Below are 19,534 nucleotides of genomic sequence, written 5' to 3'. Positions count from 1 at the left end.
AACAGCAGTGACTTGAGCTAGTAATTTCAGCTCTCTAGGACCCAGTCTGTGTCTGGTAAATGACTGACAGCTCCTCCAATGCAAGCATTGAGTCTCCACCATTGCTTTACCCAGAGCCTGGCCCAATGCCTGACTCGCCATGCCTCATTGGCCAACTGATAAATGAAGTGGGGATGGGGTCATCAAATCAAATGGCCCCCACGGTCCAAGGTTACCTTTCTCATTCCCATTGCTTGGGCCCAACTTCCGAGGGAGAAGCTTCAGTGATGTATTTGCTAAATTCATCTCCCTCTGTTATTCTATAGCTCGGTGAACCCAAAAGGATGACAAAAGGAAAATAAAGAGTAGAAATAGTGACAGTTCCATGGCCCCAATTTGGAAGAGTCCCCCATAAGTCTTGGCCTGCTGTGTACTCCCTCCAGTGGTGGCCATTTCCCCTCCTCCCTGCAGTTGGTTCCCAAGGGACAATGAGTATAGGGATGAGTGTAGGATGAGTGTGGTCTGGGCATTCCTCTCAACCGGGGATCTGTGGTCATTAGCACAGTCCAGACAGAGAAGAAGCCCTCTGGCAAGTCTCGAACATTTAAGGAGTGCCTCCTTCATACCAGAAACCTTAGGGGCACTATCTCATTTAATCCTCACGAGAACCCAGTGAGTTAAGATCTAGCTGCCTTTTATAGATGAGATAATTGAGGTTTAGACAAACTAAGTCATTTGCCCGAATTCACAGAATTAATATGGGGCAGCATCAGGATTTGGAATTAAGTTAGTTTGGCTCCAGGATTCATGCCCTTAATTTGTACATTGCAAAAAACAAACAAATATTATTCTACATTACAAAAACAAACAAGCATTATGTTATATTGCACAAACAAACAAAAAACCAGAGCAAATTTTCTCGGGGCAGGCCTTAAGGTAGGTGGGAGGCCTGGAAATGAAGTGATAGAGGGGAGGCTAAGTAAAGATTCCTCGGGATAAACTGAACTCTGTTTAATGAACTGCTAATCTTTATGTCACGGTGCATACCCAGGCTGCTTGCTAACTGCCTTCTGGGAGTGTGAGCAAGTGGGTCTCTTATCCACAAAATTCCCAGACTGAGGTCAGAAGATGAAGATTTGAAGCCCACTTACTCCATTATGTGTTATCATTGTACCTCCCCGTGGCTTTTTCTCCTCTGTTAAAGAGGGCTTGTAATAATCGCCCTATTTTCCCATAATATCCTATGAGGAATTGAGGAACTAATACATGAATATGCCCTGGAAAACATTCTTTGGCCAGGAGCTCCATGATTACTAGGCCTCCCAGAGATCTCTCCAGCCCAGGGCTGGCTCTCTGACAGAGGCTCTGTGGAGTCCAGGAAGGAGGGCAGCTGGTCACCCACTTTGATCTCAAAGGCTTCTGAATAGAATACCCTGACTTCAAACTCCCCCTGGAGATCTAACATACACCAATGGAGGCAAGACTTCCAGGCCAATGAAATCTGCCCTTGACTAGTCAAAGAAACCCAGGCTATGTATGTAATTCTTTTCCCAAAGCCCTGTGTCATGAGTCAGAACTGAAGTTCTTCTCTCAATTTAATCCTATAATCTTAGGATGCTGGGAGGATACTTGTCGCTGTCAGGCAATAAACTCTGAGAAACTAGCCTTCTAAAGCCAGAGGCTTAAGATTCTCCCATGCATTCATGTTTCCCTTCCCTTTCCAAGTTTATTAAAAACTCAGTGATTCGGGGATGACATTCAGAGCTGCCACTGGGCTGGTCTTTGTTTGGAGGCCTGGATGGCTCCCTTCTACACGGGGACTTTGAATTCCACTGCAGTAGAGTGTAGTTCCATTTTGCCATCCAACTAGGTTTATTAATGAGCTCTCAGGGCTTGGGGTCTGCTGTTTATGACTCCCGCCCCCTACCCTTCTTCTTATGTAAAGTCAGCAGTCCCAATGAAAGAAGCTGAAGAATGTCAGTGGTATGGAATGCTTTTATGAAAAGCATTGGGTGGGCTTCCTTGGGGACATAAATGGTTGTAAAAATGTTAAAAGCCTTTCAGAAAATAAAACAGATGTATCTGTCGAGATTTGGGTTTTCTCGGCACTAGGCTAAAGCTTAACTTCTCGGGATACTTTCTAGTTATTCCTTTACTCAGTCTCTCGAGGTATGATTCAGCCTAGACTACGGCTGTGTCCCCACAAGGAAATGAAGTTAAATCTTCACACAATTTTTCAGAAAGTTGAGATCCTCAAACATCCCGGTCATTGAAAAAAATTGTTTGGGGACCTCAGATCAGAGTTGACTTTCTATGCTGATCATAAAATTGTTCAGACTTGCTACCAAGAACTTGCATTTTGTTTCTGCTTGATTATTTCCAATCAGAAATCATGTTGTATCATTGGCAGTTTCATCATTTTCAAGAAAGTGAAAGTTTACTCATGTATTCCTTTAACTGGAAATTCAGCTCCCAGATTTTTATTTCCTAGTAGCTACAGCTACATTGAATTTTCACTTTTAATTTTCATCCTCTTTCCACTAAGCATTGCTTGCTAACCATCTTATGTTACTAGGAAGCCAGTACTGGCCTTTCACTAACTCTTCATATCTTGGTCTTCCTCCCAGACCTCTTGAAGAGGTGCAAAGCTGGGCATCAAGGGCCAGAGACAATGTTTCTAAGCCTATCAGTGCCACTCATAAGCTGAGCATCCACCAACAAATCACTTAGGCTTTCTGGGCCTCTCATTCTCTTCCTCTGTAATTTGAGATCAAAACTGCCTTCCCCAAAGGGCTGTTGAGAAGGACATATGAGATTTACATACACACCGGGTAGTCATTACTACTGTGACTCCATCTTCTCCATTTCAGGAAAAACTCATTCTGTTGTTATCAATTCAATAAAGCCCTGTTAGTGAGGAATTAACTGGAACCTTCAAGACATTCAGGTCAGTCAGAGCCTCTTTTGTACTCTCATTGACCCCAAGTTCTTCACAGACCAGGTAGGTTTCACCCCACTATTTGCTGATGCCAGCATTTCTGCATTACATATTTGAAAGAGAACCAATTCTCACATATAAACCATTTCTCCCTTGGAAAGCTTCTGAGGCATCTTGGCTATGTCCTTCCTCCTCCCCTGGCTGGGTAAACACTCGAAGCCACTGGCCCTGTCCCATGCCCAGCCAATTTTAAAAAGGAAGGAATCATGGACTCTATCTAATGGAAATCACACCCTCTCAATATTAGAATCATCTAGGTCAGATTCTCATTTCATAATGAGTACATTGGTCCAGGGAGGTAAAAATGACTTGCCTGAGGTCATAAAGCTGGTGAGTGGCCCAGCCCATGCCAAGCTGCTGAACACCCACCGACTGCTCATTTTGCTCCATCACCAATAGGTATCGACCGCCTCAAGGGATCAACCAACAAGGCAACCAGAGAACAGAGCCATTAGCCAGGTAGATAAGGGGTCAAGAGTCCTGGCACCTGGTACCAATCACAGAGGAGACTTTGACAGGACTGAGATAGGGAGGGGCTATCGAAGAAAACGGCCATGGAGAAAAAGGAATTCTATAATGGCTAAAGGGCAAGGAGGAAGAGAGAGAGAAAAAGAAGGCTCCCATCACTGCCACAGATGCTGGGTGCTGTATCTTATCCCCACTGCGGGCGTGGGGTGCTGCCTTCTTTGCTGTCTCTGAAACCATTCCGACAGTAACTGCAATCCTCACCCCATCCCATCTTTGCCCAGGATATCCTCAAAGCAGGAGCCTGTATGTTGTAGCATTATTCTACAACCAATGCTAACTGCAAAACAATGGGGACAGTAATACCAATTTTTTGCCTTCACTTTAAGTTACAGAGACAGAAACTTCGAACAGAAGATATGACTGTCACCTACAACGAAAGGGGTACACTGAGAGAACATCCAGATTTTCTGGCTCTCCTTTTCTTTCTGGGTTCATCAAGGATTTAGTAACTATTTTATTTGTAAGAAAGCATATGTGACCTATGCAATGAAATTAGGGAAAAGAAAATGTTTAGGAGGAAAGGAAGTAGATGAGAAATGAAAATGGGAGTGGGGGGAGCAGAGAAGGAGAACGAATCCAGTGGAAAGAAAGCTGGTGAGGGAAAAGATGCCCTGCAGAAAAGTCCCCTTTCCCCCACTGTCTGGACACTGGTGAATGACATTAGATAGAGACCCACCCCATTCAAGTCCCCTCACTGGCTCCTTTTCTCCCCACTACACCACTCCAAAATCTGAAAATCTCCAGACAGAAAGGACCTTAGTAGTTATCTGGTCCAACCACTGCATTGTGCCCTCCAACACGCAGAGGGGGCCGGTACTGCCCATGTGCCCTTATTTCCCGGCTCCGCATACTGAGGCCCAACGACATCGATTGCAGTGTAAGCGCTCAGAGTCCTGGCACTAGACCACAAAGCCATTCTCTCAAATATCTGCACAAGTGGCTCCACACCCTCGCTTCCCCGCCACGGTGGGTCTCCCGCGGACCCGCCGAAGGAAAAGCCAGAGTGAGAGTCCCAGGTGTGTGGGAGTCCCGGGCTCGGGGTCCGGACACCAGCCGTTGCCGGGAGCCCTCCCCGTCTTCCGCCCCGGGACAGCGCGACACCAGCGCTCGCCACTTCCAAGCTTATCCCAGCTAACTTTTTCTCGGGGTTGCCTTCACGGTCCTGCCGCCAGTGCTGCGGGGTACCCAGGGCGACCCCCAGCGGCCGCGCCCGGGACGCCTCCCGCCCTCTCGCCCCTTCCCCATTCATTCCTCTCGGCGCGTGGGGCAGCCCTCCCGCAAGCCTCCGGCCTTCGTGCCTCTCTGCGCCCCCCCCCCCCCACCCGGGAAGGATCGGCTCCCACAGTGCCGTGTCTCGAAGCGAGGGATGGAGCGGGACGGCGAGCGAGGCAGCCTCGGACACCCCAACGCACCCGCCCACCCACCTTACGCCCTCTCCCAGCCGGGCAAGCCAGCGCCGTCGGCGGAGAGAAGCGGCGCTCGAGGCTGGCGGCAGAGTGGACGCCCGACCTCCGTCACCAGGAACCTTTCGCGCCCCAAGTCAAAAGAGAAAGTTAGTTCTTTCGCTTTGCGGGAAACTTTTCGAAGCGCCGAGGAGCAGCGGTGGCTTAGAAGAAGTTTAAGCCAGAGTTATTTCCAAGCCGGAGGCTGGGGGCGCGGATCCGGGGTGGGTCAGGGGTCGGCGGACTGGTTACTTAGAGGGGCGCGAAGGGAATGAAGGCGAGCAGCCCTCGTCGCGCTCACTCCCTCGGCTTCCAGCGCTCACCTCCAGGCTCCGCTCGGGGCGGCCAGGGTCGGGACGGGGTCGGGCGGGCTGTTTGTCTGGCCGGCGGGCGAGCACCGAGGACTCACGGCCGGCGCGCGGGCTGAAGGGTGCGCTCGGGCGGCGGCGAGAGAAGAGAGCTGTGCAGTGCGCGCCTGGCTGCGTGCGACTGTGGCTTGGAGAGCGTTGCATCACCCCTTTTATAGCCCTCAGGCTGGCGGCGCGGTCGTTTACTCCGTGTTGCCAGTCCCAGGCTGACGTAATGCTATTAATAGCTTCCCGGGAGAACCGGCCGAACGGAGCGGAGGAAGGGGGGTGGAGGAGGGGCCAAGGCGGGGCCGAAGGCGGGTGGAGAGAGGGGGCACTGGTGATGCAAGTTCGGGGAGGAGCCAGCCCAGGCGCGTTCCCCCAGCCTCGCTCACTGAGACACACACCAGCCCGCCCTCTCTCTCCATATCAGGACCGGAGCCGCCCGGGATAGCCGCCAGATGTGCGTACTCGCTGCTGCGTGTTCCAGGCATGACCAATGGTGCCCAAGCCAGCGGCATGACTCCACCGCGCTGGCATCTGTCCCTCCGCTAGGTTGAAGAGCGGGGGGGGCGGGGAAGGTGGGGAGGCGGGTCCCGGCCCCAGCCCAGACTAGGTGAGGCTGGGAAGCGGGCACGACCTTTCTCTAAAATGCGTGGTCATTTTCTGGAGCTTCAGGAAAATACCCCCTCCCCCACTGGCCTCCTACTTCTCTAGCAGGGGCGGAGTAGGGGCAGAAGCGTTAGTCTGTGGTGTGGGGAAGGTGTCCAAAGTCACCCTTCGGTGTATCCACGCCGTTACCCGCCGGGTGTGACCTCTGCGGCGGGGACCGCGAGAAGCCCGCCGGTTAACACAAAAGCGGAGGGCAGCCCTCGGCTGGCACCGTGCGCCCGAGCCCGCAGCCCCGGACACTCCACATGGACGCACACGCAGGACAGCTCCGGGCTCCGAAACTAGGGCGAGTGGTAGGACCGTATCGGTTCGATTTTTTTTTTTTTACAATCACAAAGCGTTTGAAATTGACAAGAACATGTCAGTGAAACCAACAAGAGCGTGAAAAGATCGGAGTCCAGGAGGAATCAGAGGCAACCCGGTGGGAGGGTAGGAGGGGGCGGAAGCCAGCGGCCAGGAGGAGGGGGAAAGAGAAGGTGCTTTGGGGTCCGCGAACCTGCCCAGGCCTGGGGGTCGCCCCGCTCTCAGGCAATATTTAGGGAAAACCCATGTTCAGCTTTCACGTGTTCTTCTGCTCCCAGAGCCGATTGGACTGGGACCGGACGGCCCGGAATGGGGACGCAATGACCACAGGCGGAACCCGCAGCAGAAATCCCCTCTGCCCTCAAGCCAGGGTGGCGGGAAAGGCGGGGCCCCGTGGTCCGAGATTCGAGCTGAGACCTCAGCAGAACTGGGTTTGAACCTTAAAAACGATTTCCTGGTTCTTATTCCCCGACCCCAACAATTTCTGCTCAGAGAGCGGCAGAACCAAGGAACCTTCTTGACTGCCCGTGGATGACTATTTGTAGACACAAGTGTGGCCTGGGACTTTCGCACCTGCCTGGGAGGGAGACCTGCGCGGCCGCAGGGTGTGGGGGCACGGTGAAGGGCAGAAACACCTGCTCCTTTCCACCTGCCTCTGGGAGAGAGGCGGCCGAAGGTCACAGTTTGGTAATTTGGGGTAGAAACTAGAGGTGTCTGGAGCCTGGGTCTCACTTGAAGTCCCCAGTTCCCCCCACCGGGGTTCCTCGCCGCCAAGCCCGACCTCACTCAGACCACCCACCTCTCCACGGGCCTGGGAACACGCGGAGGGCGGCCTCGGAAGTCTTTGCGCCCCGGCGGACCCGGGAGCCCTGGAGTTCCACGCGGGATCCTCCGAGATCCTGCTCTGGACCTGAACCGATTTCCAGCGGCGTCGCGCGGGAAGTGCAGGGCGGGTGTTTTCGCTTTACTTTTCGCCCTGGTAACGGCTCTCCGGGCCCCACCCTCCGCTTCCACGCCCTCACCCCCGCGCGCCGCTCAGCACACCTCCACAACCCGCCCTCCCGCTGGAGTGCGCGCAGGTAAACCCCGGGCGTGTCGGAGCAGCCCGGCGGACACCGGGCGGGATTAGGTGGAGGAGTGTTTGCATTTGAATGAAGTTATTTGTTATCTCTACTTAGCTATTTTATCTACTTATAGATTGTTCTGGAATAAATAGCACCATTATAAAGTGAAGCAAGGAGAGGAGGGAGAACACGTGAAGCTTTTTACTCTTTCTGCTGTGAAACAGAAATTTTGACCAGTTTACAGGTTGAACTATGATTCCATTAAAACACCCAAGCCAGATCTGTGGAGATCTGCTCCTGTCCTTAAGGGGAAATTCAACTTAGGGCGTCAAGTAAACAAACAGCCAGACCGTCCTCCACAAAACAATGCAAGGGAAGGATAATTGGGGTGGGGGGAGAAGCCCCCAACACCCCGGTCGGGTTATTCTTATTACCATTGTGCCTCCAGTTCTTTTTATCAATCTTGCTTCATTCTAATTACTCTTAGTTTGGAATCTCCAAGTTGGATAGAAATGCTGTCAGCTGTTCACGGAAGTCTGATCCTGATATTCTAAACCCGAAAAGTGATAAGAATCTTGACAGAGAACTAAGTCCACTCCCACTTGAATGAAACTCTTACCCAGGGAAAACGAAAACTACTCCTGCCTGCCTCCCTCCCCTCAGCCCCCAGGAGAACCGTGAAATGCCTGCTGAATTGAGAGACTGGAAAAGAACAGAGCAAGGCAGAGCCCCTGAGGTCTTTGCCACAGGAGAGTGATCAACATCTGAGTCCTTTGCATCCTTATTTTACCCTGACTTCAGTTAATGCCACCAATGTCCAGTGTGCACACTCTCAGCACACACACAGGCAGTGCCATGAAGTGGAGGGGACAGAAAAGCTTTCCACACCAAAACTCTTCTCCATGCAAACAAAAGAATGGCTGTCTCGCCTTAGAAGGAAGCCCTGGCTAGGGTGATTTCAGGGGTTAATCCTCAATGAAAGAGGGTTAAGCAGAGACTTGAAGATTGCTGAGGTTTTATGATGGTGAATTGCCTGGGGAATCCACATTCAGATCAGCCTTGGTATGTTTTGCTGAGTGAGATAAGAGTTGGAGACTTCATGCTGGGACATGTGCAAAAGGAAGGGAAAAAATTAAAAGGGGAGGGGAAGGAACTAGGCAACTAAAAACAGCCCACTCGTGGCAACCAAATCTAAACAGAAAAACATTGCAGGGAGCCAAACGCAAAAGAAAAAACAAAAAAGTTTGAGATATTTAAAGGTTCTAGCAGTTTCTTAGTTCAGTGCACAGTCCCTTCCCACATTCCTCTGCCCCATTACTCTGTTCTCTAAACCCTAAGACTGTATTCGTGCCCAGAATGCTAGAAACACAAGATAAGATCTGCCAGAGAAGCGGCAGAGTACTAGCAGCTCTGTCTGCCTGGCTCAACCTACTTCTTCGCTTTGGAACGGGAGTGGAGTCCATTTTCTTATACTTTATTCTGTTTCCGAAGCTCACTCTTTCTACAAAGTCAGTTTGAATGTGGGGATTGCTAGTTTAATAGTGTCCAAAATTGGCATTGTCAGGAAACAGGGGCAGCATCACACAGTAGGCACCAAAGTGTGGAAGGCACTTGGATTCTGGATTCAGCACTTAGATGCTGTGTCACCTTAAGTAAGTTATTTCCTCAAATGAAAAATGGCACTAACAATAGCACCTAATGCATAAGATTGTTGTGACATTTCTCTGAGGATGTGGCACCCAGTCAGCCCTCAGTAGTGGTATCATTAATTAATTATGAATCAAGAGAAGCTTTCTGAGGTACCCTTGAATCTCTCCAGGAACTCATTCAGTATCACTTGTCAGTGGAAAATAGTGGATGAAGTCAAGCGATCTCCAGGAATGACAATCAAGAGGGGGCGGGAGTGAGAGCCCAGGCAGACACTGATGAAAGCCATCCTCGTTCCCCATCACAGCAACTCCACCACACACCTGGGGCTCTCCTCAATGCTGGATGGCCCTGCCAAGTATCCTGGGCTAGGAGCAGGGGATTTGGGTTTGGGGTCTGGTTCTGTCTTTGGTATTCTTGAGCAAGGCACTCCCCGTTTCTAAGGCTCCCAACTTTTCTGAAGTGAGGAGCCTTGGGCTGAGCTCTGACGGTCCTGAATGGGGACCCTCTGCCAAAGCCACCCTATGAGCTTCTGGCAACTTTCCCTAAGAGAGATGGGGAGAGAGAAGACATCATAGGTAAGGCACTGAATAGAACAAGGACAGACCCATTTCTGCAACCTTTCTTCCCCTCCAAAAACTAGAGTTAAGAAATGTTGTCCAACTTAAACACAGCCTGTCCTTCTCCCACCTCCAATACTTCCAAGAATTTTCACCCCCATGGACTAGGTGCCTTGTGAGAGAGGGATGTGGCAGAACACCCCAGGCATGGATTACATCTCTGGTGACTTCTTGTGTGTAGCCCATCATCAACAACCATAGACATCTACCTTGGTCTACAGGGCCAAAACCCAGGTAGCAGATATTCCCATTTGAGAGATTGAATCCAGAGACCCCAGAATCCAAGATGAAGTCCTGGAAGTCAGTAGATTAGCAGGACTCAGGAGACCGGGGATTCATCCACAGGTTTACCTCCAGTCAACTGAGTGAGTATACAAGTCATAAACACGATGTCTCAGTTTCCCAGTCTATAAAACGTAACCACTTAGCATTGACTCCCCCTAGGTTGTTGTAAGAATCAAATGAGATAGTAGATGTGAAAGTGATTTGAAGATAAAAGATTCATAGTTTTAAAGATTTCTTTGGGGAAAGTTTTACTATAATTTTTTTGTCATTATGAAAATTTGGGAAACAGACAAGGGAAAAATATTACCCACAATCTCAACACTATTAACACTGTAGTGTGTTTCCCTCTAATCTTTTTTCTCATGTACATGATTTTAAAATACAGTTATGATTTTAGATTGCATGCACCTTTGAAATTTGCTCTTTTGCTTATTACCTCGAATGGTATATGGTCTTTCTTCTTAAAAATATGTCTTATTATAAAGTATAGCATATATACAAAAGATTATATAGAACACACACACACACACACACACACATATATATACACACACATTTTAATAATCAAACACATTAGGAACTCACCACTCAAGAAGTAGACCTCTTTGCTTCCCAGAGGTAACCACTATCCTGATTCTTATTACCATAACTTGCCAATGGATGTTCTATGATTTACTTAATCATTTCCCTACTTTTAGAATTTAGAGTGTTGCTAATATTTTGCTTGAATGCTATACAAATTCAAATATTTTTATAAGAGAAAGGATATCAAATACCATCATTGCTCAGGATGCTTAAATGGGGTTAAAGAATGAGTCTTGATGTCTACCTTCAAATGCTACACACGGCATATATATGGTGGAAGATGGAAGGACCCCCAAAGATTGTGACTACTTGTGCATTTTCCTTGTTTCCTAACATCCAAACAAAAAATCCTGCAGGCGCTTTTTCCTTTTTTTAAATCCCTGCCCCTCTCTGCTTCCCATCCTCCTTTATTTCCTCTTCATCTACCTTGAAGCAGAAAATGTAGTCTGCAGCATGGGCTAGTAATACAGAATTAGAGCAGCCAGGCTGTGCTTCTCCCTGTGCCTTCAGGCAAAATTCTCAGTGTAGCTCGGGCAGCTCTAGCATCTCTATGCCAGTTTGGTGACATGAGTGGCTACCAGGTAGCTGGTCACTTCAGTCTGCACCTGAGCAGGTGTAGATGTTTGGCGGTGATTCTCAGAACTAAAAGACACCATAGCCAAAAGGACCCTAGAAGTCATTCACTTCCATTTTCTCAAACTGGACATGAGCACACACAGGTGTACCAGGGCCATGAGATAAACAAAGGAGATCTTACTTGAGTGTCTGCCTTAAATAAAAAATCCTTAAAATATTGTGTTGTATTAAACATATATAGATATGTGGAATTTGAATGTAAGTCATGCAAGGATTTCTAAGGAAAGAGAGAAGATATCAAATACATTCTGGGTCTAGCATCGGCTGCCAAAAGTTTTATTCCTGGGACCTTGAGAGGATTAGTTCCCTCCCTTCTTTCTAAGTGTAAAATGTTACTATGTAGCATTCTGGGTGTTCCGTGCTATGTACTAAGCCCTTTACGTACAGTTAATGCTTTTAATTATTGTAACCACCCTTTGATGGACCGTAAACATCTCCATTTTATAGATGAGGAAACTGAGGCACAGACAGGGTAAATAACTTGCCAGAAGTTACCTAGCTAGTGAGCAGTAGAGCAGGACTCAACCCAGGCAGTCTGACTCCCAAGTCTGAGTGCGCAACCACGATACCTACCACCTCCTGGCAAGTGCTCACGGGAAACTTGGGATGCTCTGATGCAGTTCAGGGCCCTCCTTTGATGGATGAGGAAACTGAGCTTACAGAGAAAAATGTGGCTCTACATCGTGTCAGAATCATAAATTCTCATACCGAAAGGAACCTTAGCAGCCATTGAGACTCGTGAACCCCTTTTTTGCCCTCCACCTGGGGAGATGCTGCTTTTGCTAAGAATAGGGCCAAGGTGAAAAAAGCTGATTGTAAGAAGAGCACCCTAAAACATTTTAGGGGCACCTTAGCTAGTGGCTGGCAAGGCATACTATCCTTGGGGCTGAAAAGGGGATGGTGTAGGGTAGAAGCCAGGGATGGCAGAAAGAACCTGTGGTCAGATAGAACTGAGTTCAAATCCTCTTTCTGCCACTGCTTATTTAGTTTTAAGAAGGTCTTATAACCTCAGTTTCTCCTGTAAAATGAGGATAATGTCTGTTTCCTCATTTATATCTGTTTCCTTAATCATGGGATTAAGGAACAATACACCTTTATTATACATTGTATGCCTGTATCAAAATATCTCACATGCCCAATAAATATATACACCTACTATATACCCCCCAAAATTAAAAAACAATTCACCCTCAAAAGTGACATTCAATAAATATTGCTTTTTTCCCTCTTCACGCCTTACCCTTGAAGCTACCAAGTCATATGGAAACCTGAGACACCAAAGTGTCTAGACCCTCATGGAAAGTTCCATCTCTCAGGCTGGCTTACTGACTGATTTTAAAACAAATTTAAAAAAACTTGATGTGTGGCCAGGTCCTATTTAGTAATTACTATTTACTGAGCACATACTACATGCCAGGCACAATAGTAAGCACTTTTAAAAATACCCAGTATCTTATTTCATCCTTATAATAACCTGTGAGGTAGGTTTTTTATCTCGGTTTTACAGATGAGGAAACCAAAGCACAGAAAGGTTAAGAAAATTGCTCATAGGTACTTGATTTAAACACAAATCTAACTTATTTCAAAACTTACATTAAGCGATACTGTCCTCAAAATCTTAGAGAGCATGATGTGTGTTTACTTTTCTTTAGCCTTCCCTACCTTGTTGAAAATGAGCACCCTCGCTTTACCAAAGTCTTGCTGAATGCACAGATGCTTCTAGAGTTGACCTTACCAGAAAATTCTTACTCCTGATGTCCCAGAGGATACATGCTTAATAAATTCCAGATCCCTGTGCCCTCAGGGATACTTTCCCCCCTGCCAAATTTGCAATTATTTCATAATTTGCTTTAACCACAAACATAAGCCCTGTTATTGACTGAGTAAACTGAGTAGGGCTTTTTGGACTTTTATTCTTTTCCCAAAATACGATGAACTTGAATCATCAGATGATGAACTTGTACTTGAAACTAGAGTGGCTGAGGGCAAAGTGAGTCACTCCAGTGAGTTTATGCCTATCAATCAATGCATCAAATTGTGTCCTATTACCGGACACTGCTCTCAGCAGTCTACTTAGACACCTTGGGGTTACAAGGACAATATAAGAGCATTTCTTGACCTGAAGAGTTAAAAATCTTGTTTAGGTGGCAAATTAATATACATGAAGCAGAAGTCCAGCAATATAGTAGGTATTTTATATATATACTATATATATATGTATGTATGTTTAGTCCTCCAACATTTTAACGAGCACCAACTATATGCTGGATACCGTGTCAGAAGCTGCAGGTACACAGTGATGCATATCTGCCTTCCAGGTGCTCACAGCCCATGGGGAGACAGACTTGATAACAAATAGTTACAGCCTGATGCAGCAAGGGCTAAAGTGGGGCAGGACGGCTCTGCCCAGGAAAGCTGGCAAGAGCTGATGGCTGAGGTGACTGTCGAGCTGGATGTTGAGCCGACCGTTTTCTAGGCAAGGGAAGTGGACAGGCATTCCAGGCATAGAGAAAGTCATATGAAGAGGCTGTGAGTGCCAGGAAGGGGCTGTGCCCTGCTCATCTCTGTCCTTATTTCCAGCTCTTTGCACAGTTCCAGGCACATGCCAGACCCACAGTGAATACGCATTCAGTGGATGAAAATACGGAATGGAGAGAACATGCACAGTGTTTGGAGAACAGTGAGGCAATTGCTGAGCAGGAGTATTTGTGGAAGGGAGGAGACGTTAGGGAAGCAAGTCTGGGAAGAACAGACTGTGATAGCCTTTGAAGATGTAATAATCAGTTTGGACTCTGTCCCCAGGGACAAAGGGAGGGGGTCTGTCAGTGGCAGATGGACACAAACAGATGTTTTTCAGGAAGACTGCTGGTAGAGGGCTGAGGGTGGGCTGGATGGGAGAGGAAGATGCCCATGGAGGGCCATCAGGAGGCTGCAACACTGGTCAGGTGAGGCCATCGGAGGCCAGATGAACTGTGAAGATGGTGGTATCCCCACTCTCGTATGTTGTTCACTCAAAATAAAAATTATTCACAAAACACAATGCTCTTATGTGTACTGAAATTAAAATAGCCTTTTTCCCCTGGATCTTTTCATTGCAAAATTCAGGATTGCTTTATTAAAACTGAGCTTCCCTCACTTTCGGGGGCCCTCCCCATTACAGGTACCCTAAGCAGGCATCTGATCAGTCTTGGGAGTACAGCAGTGTTGCCTCACCTGAGGCAGGGCTGGTAAGGAGAACAGGAGGGGATGATTTTGGGAAACTTCTAGGCAGACATCTTTGGATTTTGGCAGAAGCTTGGTGTTAGGATAGATGGAGAGGGGAGGAATGCCCCTATCTCAGATGTTATAGAGCATAGCATTGGGGTGGGAAGGAACTGATTGGGTATTGTAGGCAGTAGAAGTGGGAAAAGACTAATAAGGGCATTTCGGGACAAAATGCTTAGCAGTGGGATGTCAAAGAAGGGAATGGCCCCTAGCCATCAGCATGTTGGGGATATCAAAGTAATGGAAAGACTCAGAGGAGAGAGGAGAGAGAGGGAGGAAGAAGAGCCAGGTTGGGGCCTAAGGCATAATGTAGGAGTCAGTGTGGATTATTGGAAATTTACGGATAATTACCAAGTACCATGAAAATCTACCTCACTGGTTCACAGCTGTAATTTATGCTTTCCCTCAGGCTTTGGATAACAATATTTATTCCAGCTAGCTTTCTGATAAAGTGATTAATGAAGACCAGAAATGGTCCCTCAAGAACCAGGAAAAGCCAATGATCCTCAGCCTGACATAGTTGAGAACTGACAAACTAGACACTTATTTAAACAAGTCTTTTTTCAGTGCTATGCCACTATTTTAAAAGATATTCACAAAGAGATTACAACTTAGGGAATGCTGTAGAGATAATGTGGGTTTTAAATGCAAGATACATATCATCTCACCCCAGTTAAAATGGTTTTATCCAAAAGACAGACAATAACAAATGCTGGTGAGGATGTGCAGAAAAGTTAACCCTCGTACACTGTTGGTGAGAATGTAAATTAGTACAGCCATTATGGAAAACAGTTTGGAGGCTCCTCAAAAAACCAAAAGTAGAGCTACCATATGATCCAGCAATCCTACTGCTGAGTATATACCCAAAAGAAAGGAAATGAGTATATCAAGGAGATATCTGCACTCCCATGTTTGTTGCAGCTCTGTTCACAGTAGCCAAGATTTGGAGGCAACCTAAGTGTCCATCAACAGATGAATGCATAGAGAAAATGTGGTACTTATACACAGTGGAGTACTATTCAGTTATAAAAAAGAATGAGATACTGTCATTTGCAACAACATGGATGAAACTGAAGGTCTTTATGTTAGGTGAAATAAGCCAGGCACAGAAAGACAAACATCATATGTTCTCACGTATTTGCAGGATCTACAAATAAAACAATTGAACCCATGGACACAAAGAGTAGAAGGATGGTTACCAGAGGCTGGGAAGGGTAATGGGGGTGGGGGAAGGTGAGGATGGTTAATGGGTTACAAAAAAATAGTTAGAATGAATAAGACCTACTATTGATAGCACCGCAAGGTGACTGTAGTCAAAATAATTTGCTTGTACATTTAGAAATAACTAGAAGAGTATAATTGGATTGAGATACAAAGGATAAATGCTTAAGGGGATGGATACCCCATTTCCCAAGATGTGATTATTCCATCTTGCATGCCTGTATCAAAGTATCTCATGTACCCCATAAACATACACACTTACTATGTACCCATAAAAGTTAAAAATAAATAAATTTTAAAAAGTAAGATATATATCAACACAGAACAATCATAACTCAATAAAAGCTATAAATAAACAACAAAATACGTAGAATAAGGGAAATAAAGAAATTTCCATAAAATATTAAAAGTATTTAGTTGTTGGAAGTATGGGTGGGTAACTTTTTTTCTCTTCTACTTATATATTTCTGAATTATCCCATTGTTCTATAGTGCGGATGTGTTAATTCTTAAAAGATGAAAGTATAAACTTTCATGAAGGCAAAAACTAATATTACTGTGTGTCTTTCGAAGAGTGTATTTGCCTACTTTTTTCCAGTCCTGCCATTAAGGGGTACCTAAGACTGAGATTCCATCCAAATCAAATCCTGGCTTAATTATGTATCAAGCACTCCTTGAATGCCTACCATGTGCCAGGGGCTGAGATGGAATCCAGGAAAGAATAAAATTGTTTCTAAGGTAGGAGATGGAATGATGAATTAATCTTCAATAAGCTCAGTTTTTGTCCTGCTAAACCTCATAGTGACTTATATAAGCGAAACGGAAAGAAATCCAAAGTGTACTCATCTACACTGAGAACACTGTGGTAAGTGGAAACAACACTCGGGCCAAGGTTCAAGTTCTGGTTCTGCACTAGCTGAGAAACCTGAGGTCCCTCTCTGAGGGTCAAATTCCTCCTGTGTTAGTCAAGGAGGCTGTGCTAAGGGAAGGGCTCCAGAAGGCAGCAAGAGTCTCAACCTCTGCCACTTACTGGCCTGGAACATTGAACATAAAGCTAATACGACCCACCTTGCAGGGTTGATATGGGGCAGGGGGTGAAAAGATAGATGATTGCTAGATAGATGAATGGATGGATAGCTAGCTAGATAGAGAGATAGATGATAGATAGATAGATAGATAGATAGATAGATAAATAGATGTAACTCAGTACCCAGAATATAACAACACATTAGTAAATGGGAGCTTCTATTATTATAAATTCTGAAATTCCTTACAGTTCTTCAATTTTGTGATTATAAGCGCTGTGTCTACAGTCGATGATGAAGATGATGATCATGATGGTGATATTATTTTCTAAGGGCCCCTTTTTTCTTGTCGTCATTCCCTATTGACCAAGTTTCTACAGAAGAGACACATACCTAGTCACATAAAAGTGAGTCACCGAGGAGGCCCCATATTGTCTCTGTCTGTGTTGGACATGCCTTGCTGGACAAACCACCTCTTTCTCTCAATTTCCAACACTTAATGTCTATTTTCTTATCTGAAGATTGCCCCCGCATCTTCCTCACATAAAAGTGCTGTGAGGAATAAATTCATACACTCATTCCTCGTGTATGTATTGAGTGCCTACTGTATGCCTGGCATTGTTCAAGAGCTGGACATCCAAGAATGAACAAGACAGAAAGAGGCTCCACACTGGGCACTTAGCAGATACCCCAACATTAATTTCTCCTCTTAAGCTTAATTTAAATGGAAATAAGACAGCAGTGGGAATTCAAAGAGATTCTCAATTCAGAAGAACCAGTGTTATCTCTTCAGCATTCCTTTAAAGAATTTGGGAACAAAACACTGACTGTTAACTAGCTCACCATTCATGTGCCAGAGGGAAGCCACCTTCTTTTTCCCCCTTGGCATTGGCCTTGAAAGGGGAGCCAGTGGGTGAGAGGGGACATTGTCCTTTCTTTCTGGCATATAGAGCCTTAGCTTTAACTTTCACACCCCCCACAGCACTCTTCTGCCTTGGCTCTGTTACATGTCCTGACATGTAGAACCAAAGGAAACACAAAGTGAAAATGAAACGAATGTTCCACCTGAGTCACTGTCTGTGTTTCTCTTTTATCACCAAAGCAATGAACTCCCACACAACTGAGGCTTGTTCTATTTAGGTTGTAAAACGTCATCTTTGTAATTAAAGCACACTATTATTGTTATAAAGTAAACAATTGGAAAACATGTTCTTAGAAACATCTCTCTGATTCATAAATATTTGGATGGTGAAATCACAGAAGTGGAATGCTAACCTTGCTAACACGCTAGTGATAAAGATCAGTAGGCACTTATGTTACACAGGGGAAAGTTAGCCTTAGTGTGCAGTAGAAAAGTGAGGTGGAAAATAGGAGTTATCTTGTAACGGCCATTTGGAATCATGGAGGTTTAAAAAATATAAACTATTTTTTCTCATGTTAAATTTCACTTCACTTGTGTTTATTAATTCATTGAAGGAATATTAATTCATCGAAGGAATATTTTGTTCCCACTCCACTGGGGCCACACCCCACAGTCACTTTAAGCCCCAACCACTTGAGGCGCTAGTGGTTTCATTTTCTCATCAAGCCTCTCACGTCTAACATTCTTGCCTATGATGGAATTTCCTCCTCCTCCTGCCACCCAAACCTTTCCATTTACAAAACTGCTGTTTCATTATATCTTTCAAAATCCAGTTTCAAAGTCACTTCCTTGTGTAGGTAATATAATGTTAGTCACCTCTAGGACTAGCCATGTAATTAGTGGGGCCTATTACCAAACGCAAATGTGGAGCCCCTTGTTCAGAAATTATTAAGAATGTTGAGTCAGTGACAGCAGAGCATTAAGCCAATGTGAAACTTGTTAAGGGTGGGACTGAACAGGTCATCCGGCTTATGAGGCTAGCCGTGGACGCACCTTTTCTGTGTTCCCATAGTTCTTAGAGGATATTTTTGTTTCTTGGCCATTCAGCATCTATCCATCCCAATTCGAGTAATGGTTTCCCAGTTTTCGTCCGAGAAAGCCACTCCCCGCACATTTCCGGTCCCTGTGCATTGGGTGACCAGTCAGAGCAAACCAGGCCAGGGACCACTGTGGTTGGTCCAGGAAGGGGCTCAGGATCCATGTAGAGCCACTGAGCTGCGGGAGCACCGGGCTGGGGCTGCTGGAGGCAGCTCACTAGCTGGACTTGAAGGCAGGGGGCTGTAGCCTGGGGCTGCTGAGGTTGCCATGGGCAACTGGAGAAAAAGGTTAGAGCCAAGAGGCTCTATATCAAGCTGGGTGGCAGCCACACTTTCTGCAGAGTTTTCAGCTATATGAACCGGCAAATCTCCACTTTTTGTTAAGCCATTTTGTACTGTTTTTTCTAACGAGCCAAAGAGTCCTAGGGGCTACACATCTATTTGGTCTTTATATACATATTTTTATACATGTGTTTCCCTACAGTTTTATGAACTCCTTGGGAGTGGGTATCCTATTTTGCTCATCTTACCATCCTCAGTGGTTGAGATATTATTAAAATATCCTTTTACTTTTTAAATAAATATAACTGTAATAGTAGATGGCAAAACAATAATTGACAACCCTGCAATTATCCTCAGTTTTTGTTGTGAAACTTAACCAGTCTTTAGAATCGGAATGGCTGTGAGCCCCTGCACATGTATTCAGTTCAATACATGCTAAGTCCAGGTGGCCAGGCAATCAGCCAATGGGTTAATTCTGCTCACAGGTGCTGGCAACACTCTCTTCTTTCCCCTGACCTGTAGGCCTGTAAGGGGCCCAGTAGCTTCAGCCCACAAAGCACATTCACACCCATTAGCTCCTCTGCATCTCCCACAACCCTAAAAAGGGATCAGGCGGGGCGCTTCATCTCCATTTTACAGACTGGAGATTGAAATAAAGAGTCTGGGCAGTTTCAGCAA

The 19,534-nt window shown here is 46.1% G+C and overlaps 1 protein-coding gene across 7 annotated transcripts in view, besides 11 other annotated features; it reads right to left on the bottom strand.

Moving 5' to 3' along the window:
* The window catches only part of ATF3 (activating transcription factor 3), a 55,371-nt gene that overhangs the window by 6,577 nt on the left and 29,260 nt on the right, over positions 1-19,534 (bottom strand). For 3 of the 7 annotated variants that reach the window (NM_001040619.3, NM_001674.4, NM_001206488.3), the window contains exon 1: positions 5,271-5,440. The exons of 1 other annotated variant lie outside the window; for it this stretch is intronic. The gene's annotated coding sequence lies outside the window, so the exon portion shown is untranslated. Of the gene's footprint in view, positions 1-3,353; positions 3,362-4,929; positions 5,441-7,068; positions 7,214-19,534 lie in introns of those variants that run through there. 3 more of the 7 variants (NM_001206484.3, XM_011509579.2, XM_005273146.2) reach the window with 3 other exon arrangements.
* Positions 4,619-4,798: a silencer, noted in NCBI's record as "silent region_1800". NCBI's record gives its function as "represses an Ori minimal core promoter by ATAC-STARR-seq in GM12878 lymphoblastoid cells {active_cell/tissue: GM12878}" and the evidence as "EXISTENCE:reporter gene assay evidence [ECO:0000049][PMID:35858748]".
* Positions 4,809-4,948: a silencer, noted in NCBI's record as "silent region_1799". NCBI's record gives its function as "represses an Ori minimal core promoter by ATAC-STARR-seq in GM12878 lymphoblastoid cells {active_cell/tissue: GM12878}" and the evidence as "EXISTENCE:reporter gene assay evidence [ECO:0000049][PMID:35858748]".
* Positions 4,809-5,814: a biological region, named in NCBI's record as "H3K27ac-H3K4me1 hESC enhancer GRCh37_chr1:212781729-212782686".
* Positions 4,857-5,814: an enhancer, noted in NCBI's record as "H3K27ac-H3K4me1 hESC enhancer chr1:212781729-212782686 (GRCh37/hg19 assembly coordinates)". NCBI's record gives its function as "activates a minimal SCP1, AML or CMV promoter by ChIP-STARR-seq in naive H9 embryonic stem cells {active_cell/tissue: H9 hESC(naive)}" and the evidence as "EXISTENCE:reporter gene assay evidence [ECO:0000049][PMID:30033119]".
* Positions 5,059-5,118: an enhancer, noted in NCBI's record as "active region_2511". NCBI's record gives its function as "activates an Ori minimal core promoter by ATAC-STARR-seq in GM12878 lymphoblastoid cells {active_cell/tissue: GM12878}" and the evidence as "EXISTENCE:reporter gene assay evidence [ECO:0000049][PMID:35858748]".
* Positions 5,569-5,778: a silencer, noted in NCBI's record as "silent region_1798". NCBI's record gives its function as "represses an Ori minimal core promoter by ATAC-STARR-seq in GM12878 lymphoblastoid cells {active_cell/tissue: GM12878}" and the evidence as "EXISTENCE:reporter gene assay evidence [ECO:0000049][PMID:35858748]".
* Positions 5,815-6,772: an enhancer, noted in NCBI's record as "H3K27ac-H3K4me1 hESC enhancer chr1:212780771-212781728 (GRCh37/hg19 assembly coordinates)". NCBI's record gives its function as "activates a minimal SCP1, AML or CMV promoter by ChIP-STARR-seq in naive H9 embryonic stem cells {active_cell/tissue: H9 hESC(naive)}" and the evidence as "EXISTENCE:reporter gene assay evidence [ECO:0000049][PMID:30033119]".
* Positions 7,169-7,348: a silencer, noted in NCBI's record as "silent region_1797". NCBI's record gives its function as "represses an Ori minimal core promoter by ATAC-STARR-seq in GM12878 lymphoblastoid cells {active_cell/tissue: GM12878}" and the evidence as "EXISTENCE:reporter gene assay evidence [ECO:0000049][PMID:35858748]".
* Positions 17,119-18,318: an enhancer, noted in NCBI's record as "P300/CBP strongly-dependent group 1 enhancer chr1:212769225-212770424 (GRCh37/hg19 assembly coordinates)". NCBI's record gives its function as "activates an origin of replication core promoter dependent on BRD2, BRD4, P300/CBP, MED14 and CDK7 cofactors, with strong dependence on P300/CBP, by STARR-seq in HCT116 cells {active_cell/tissue: HCT116}" and the evidence as "EXISTENCE:reporter gene assay evidence [ECO:0000049][PMID:35650434]".
* Positions 17,478-17,957: an enhancer, noted in NCBI's record as "active region_2510". NCBI's record gives its function as "activates an Ori minimal core promoter by ATAC-STARR-seq in GM12878 lymphoblastoid cells {active_cell/tissue: GM12878}" and the evidence as "EXISTENCE:reporter gene assay evidence [ECO:0000049][PMID:35858748]".
* Positions 17,560-17,854: an enhancer, noted in NCBI's record as "tiled region #14467; HepG2 Activating DNase unmatched - State 5:Enh, and K562 Activating DNase unmatched - State 4:PromP". NCBI's record gives its function as "activates a minimal TATA promoter and a strong SV40 promoter by Sharpr-MPRA in HepG2 cells, with weaker activity in K562 cells {active_cell/tissue: HepG2 | K562}" and the evidence as "EXISTENCE:reporter gene assay evidence [ECO:0000049][PMID:27701403]".

This window comes from Homo sapiens, chromosome 1 (genome assembly GCF_000001405.40).
Source record: "Homo sapiens chromosome 1, GRCh38.p14 Primary Assembly".
In the NCBI taxonomy this organism is placed as follows: domain Eukaryota; kingdom Metazoa; phylum Chordata; class Mammalia; order Primates; family Hominidae; genus Homo; species Homo sapiens.
The sequence above is the reverse complement of the archived record's forward strand: the minus strand, read 5'-3'. Positions and strand labels throughout refer to the sequence as shown.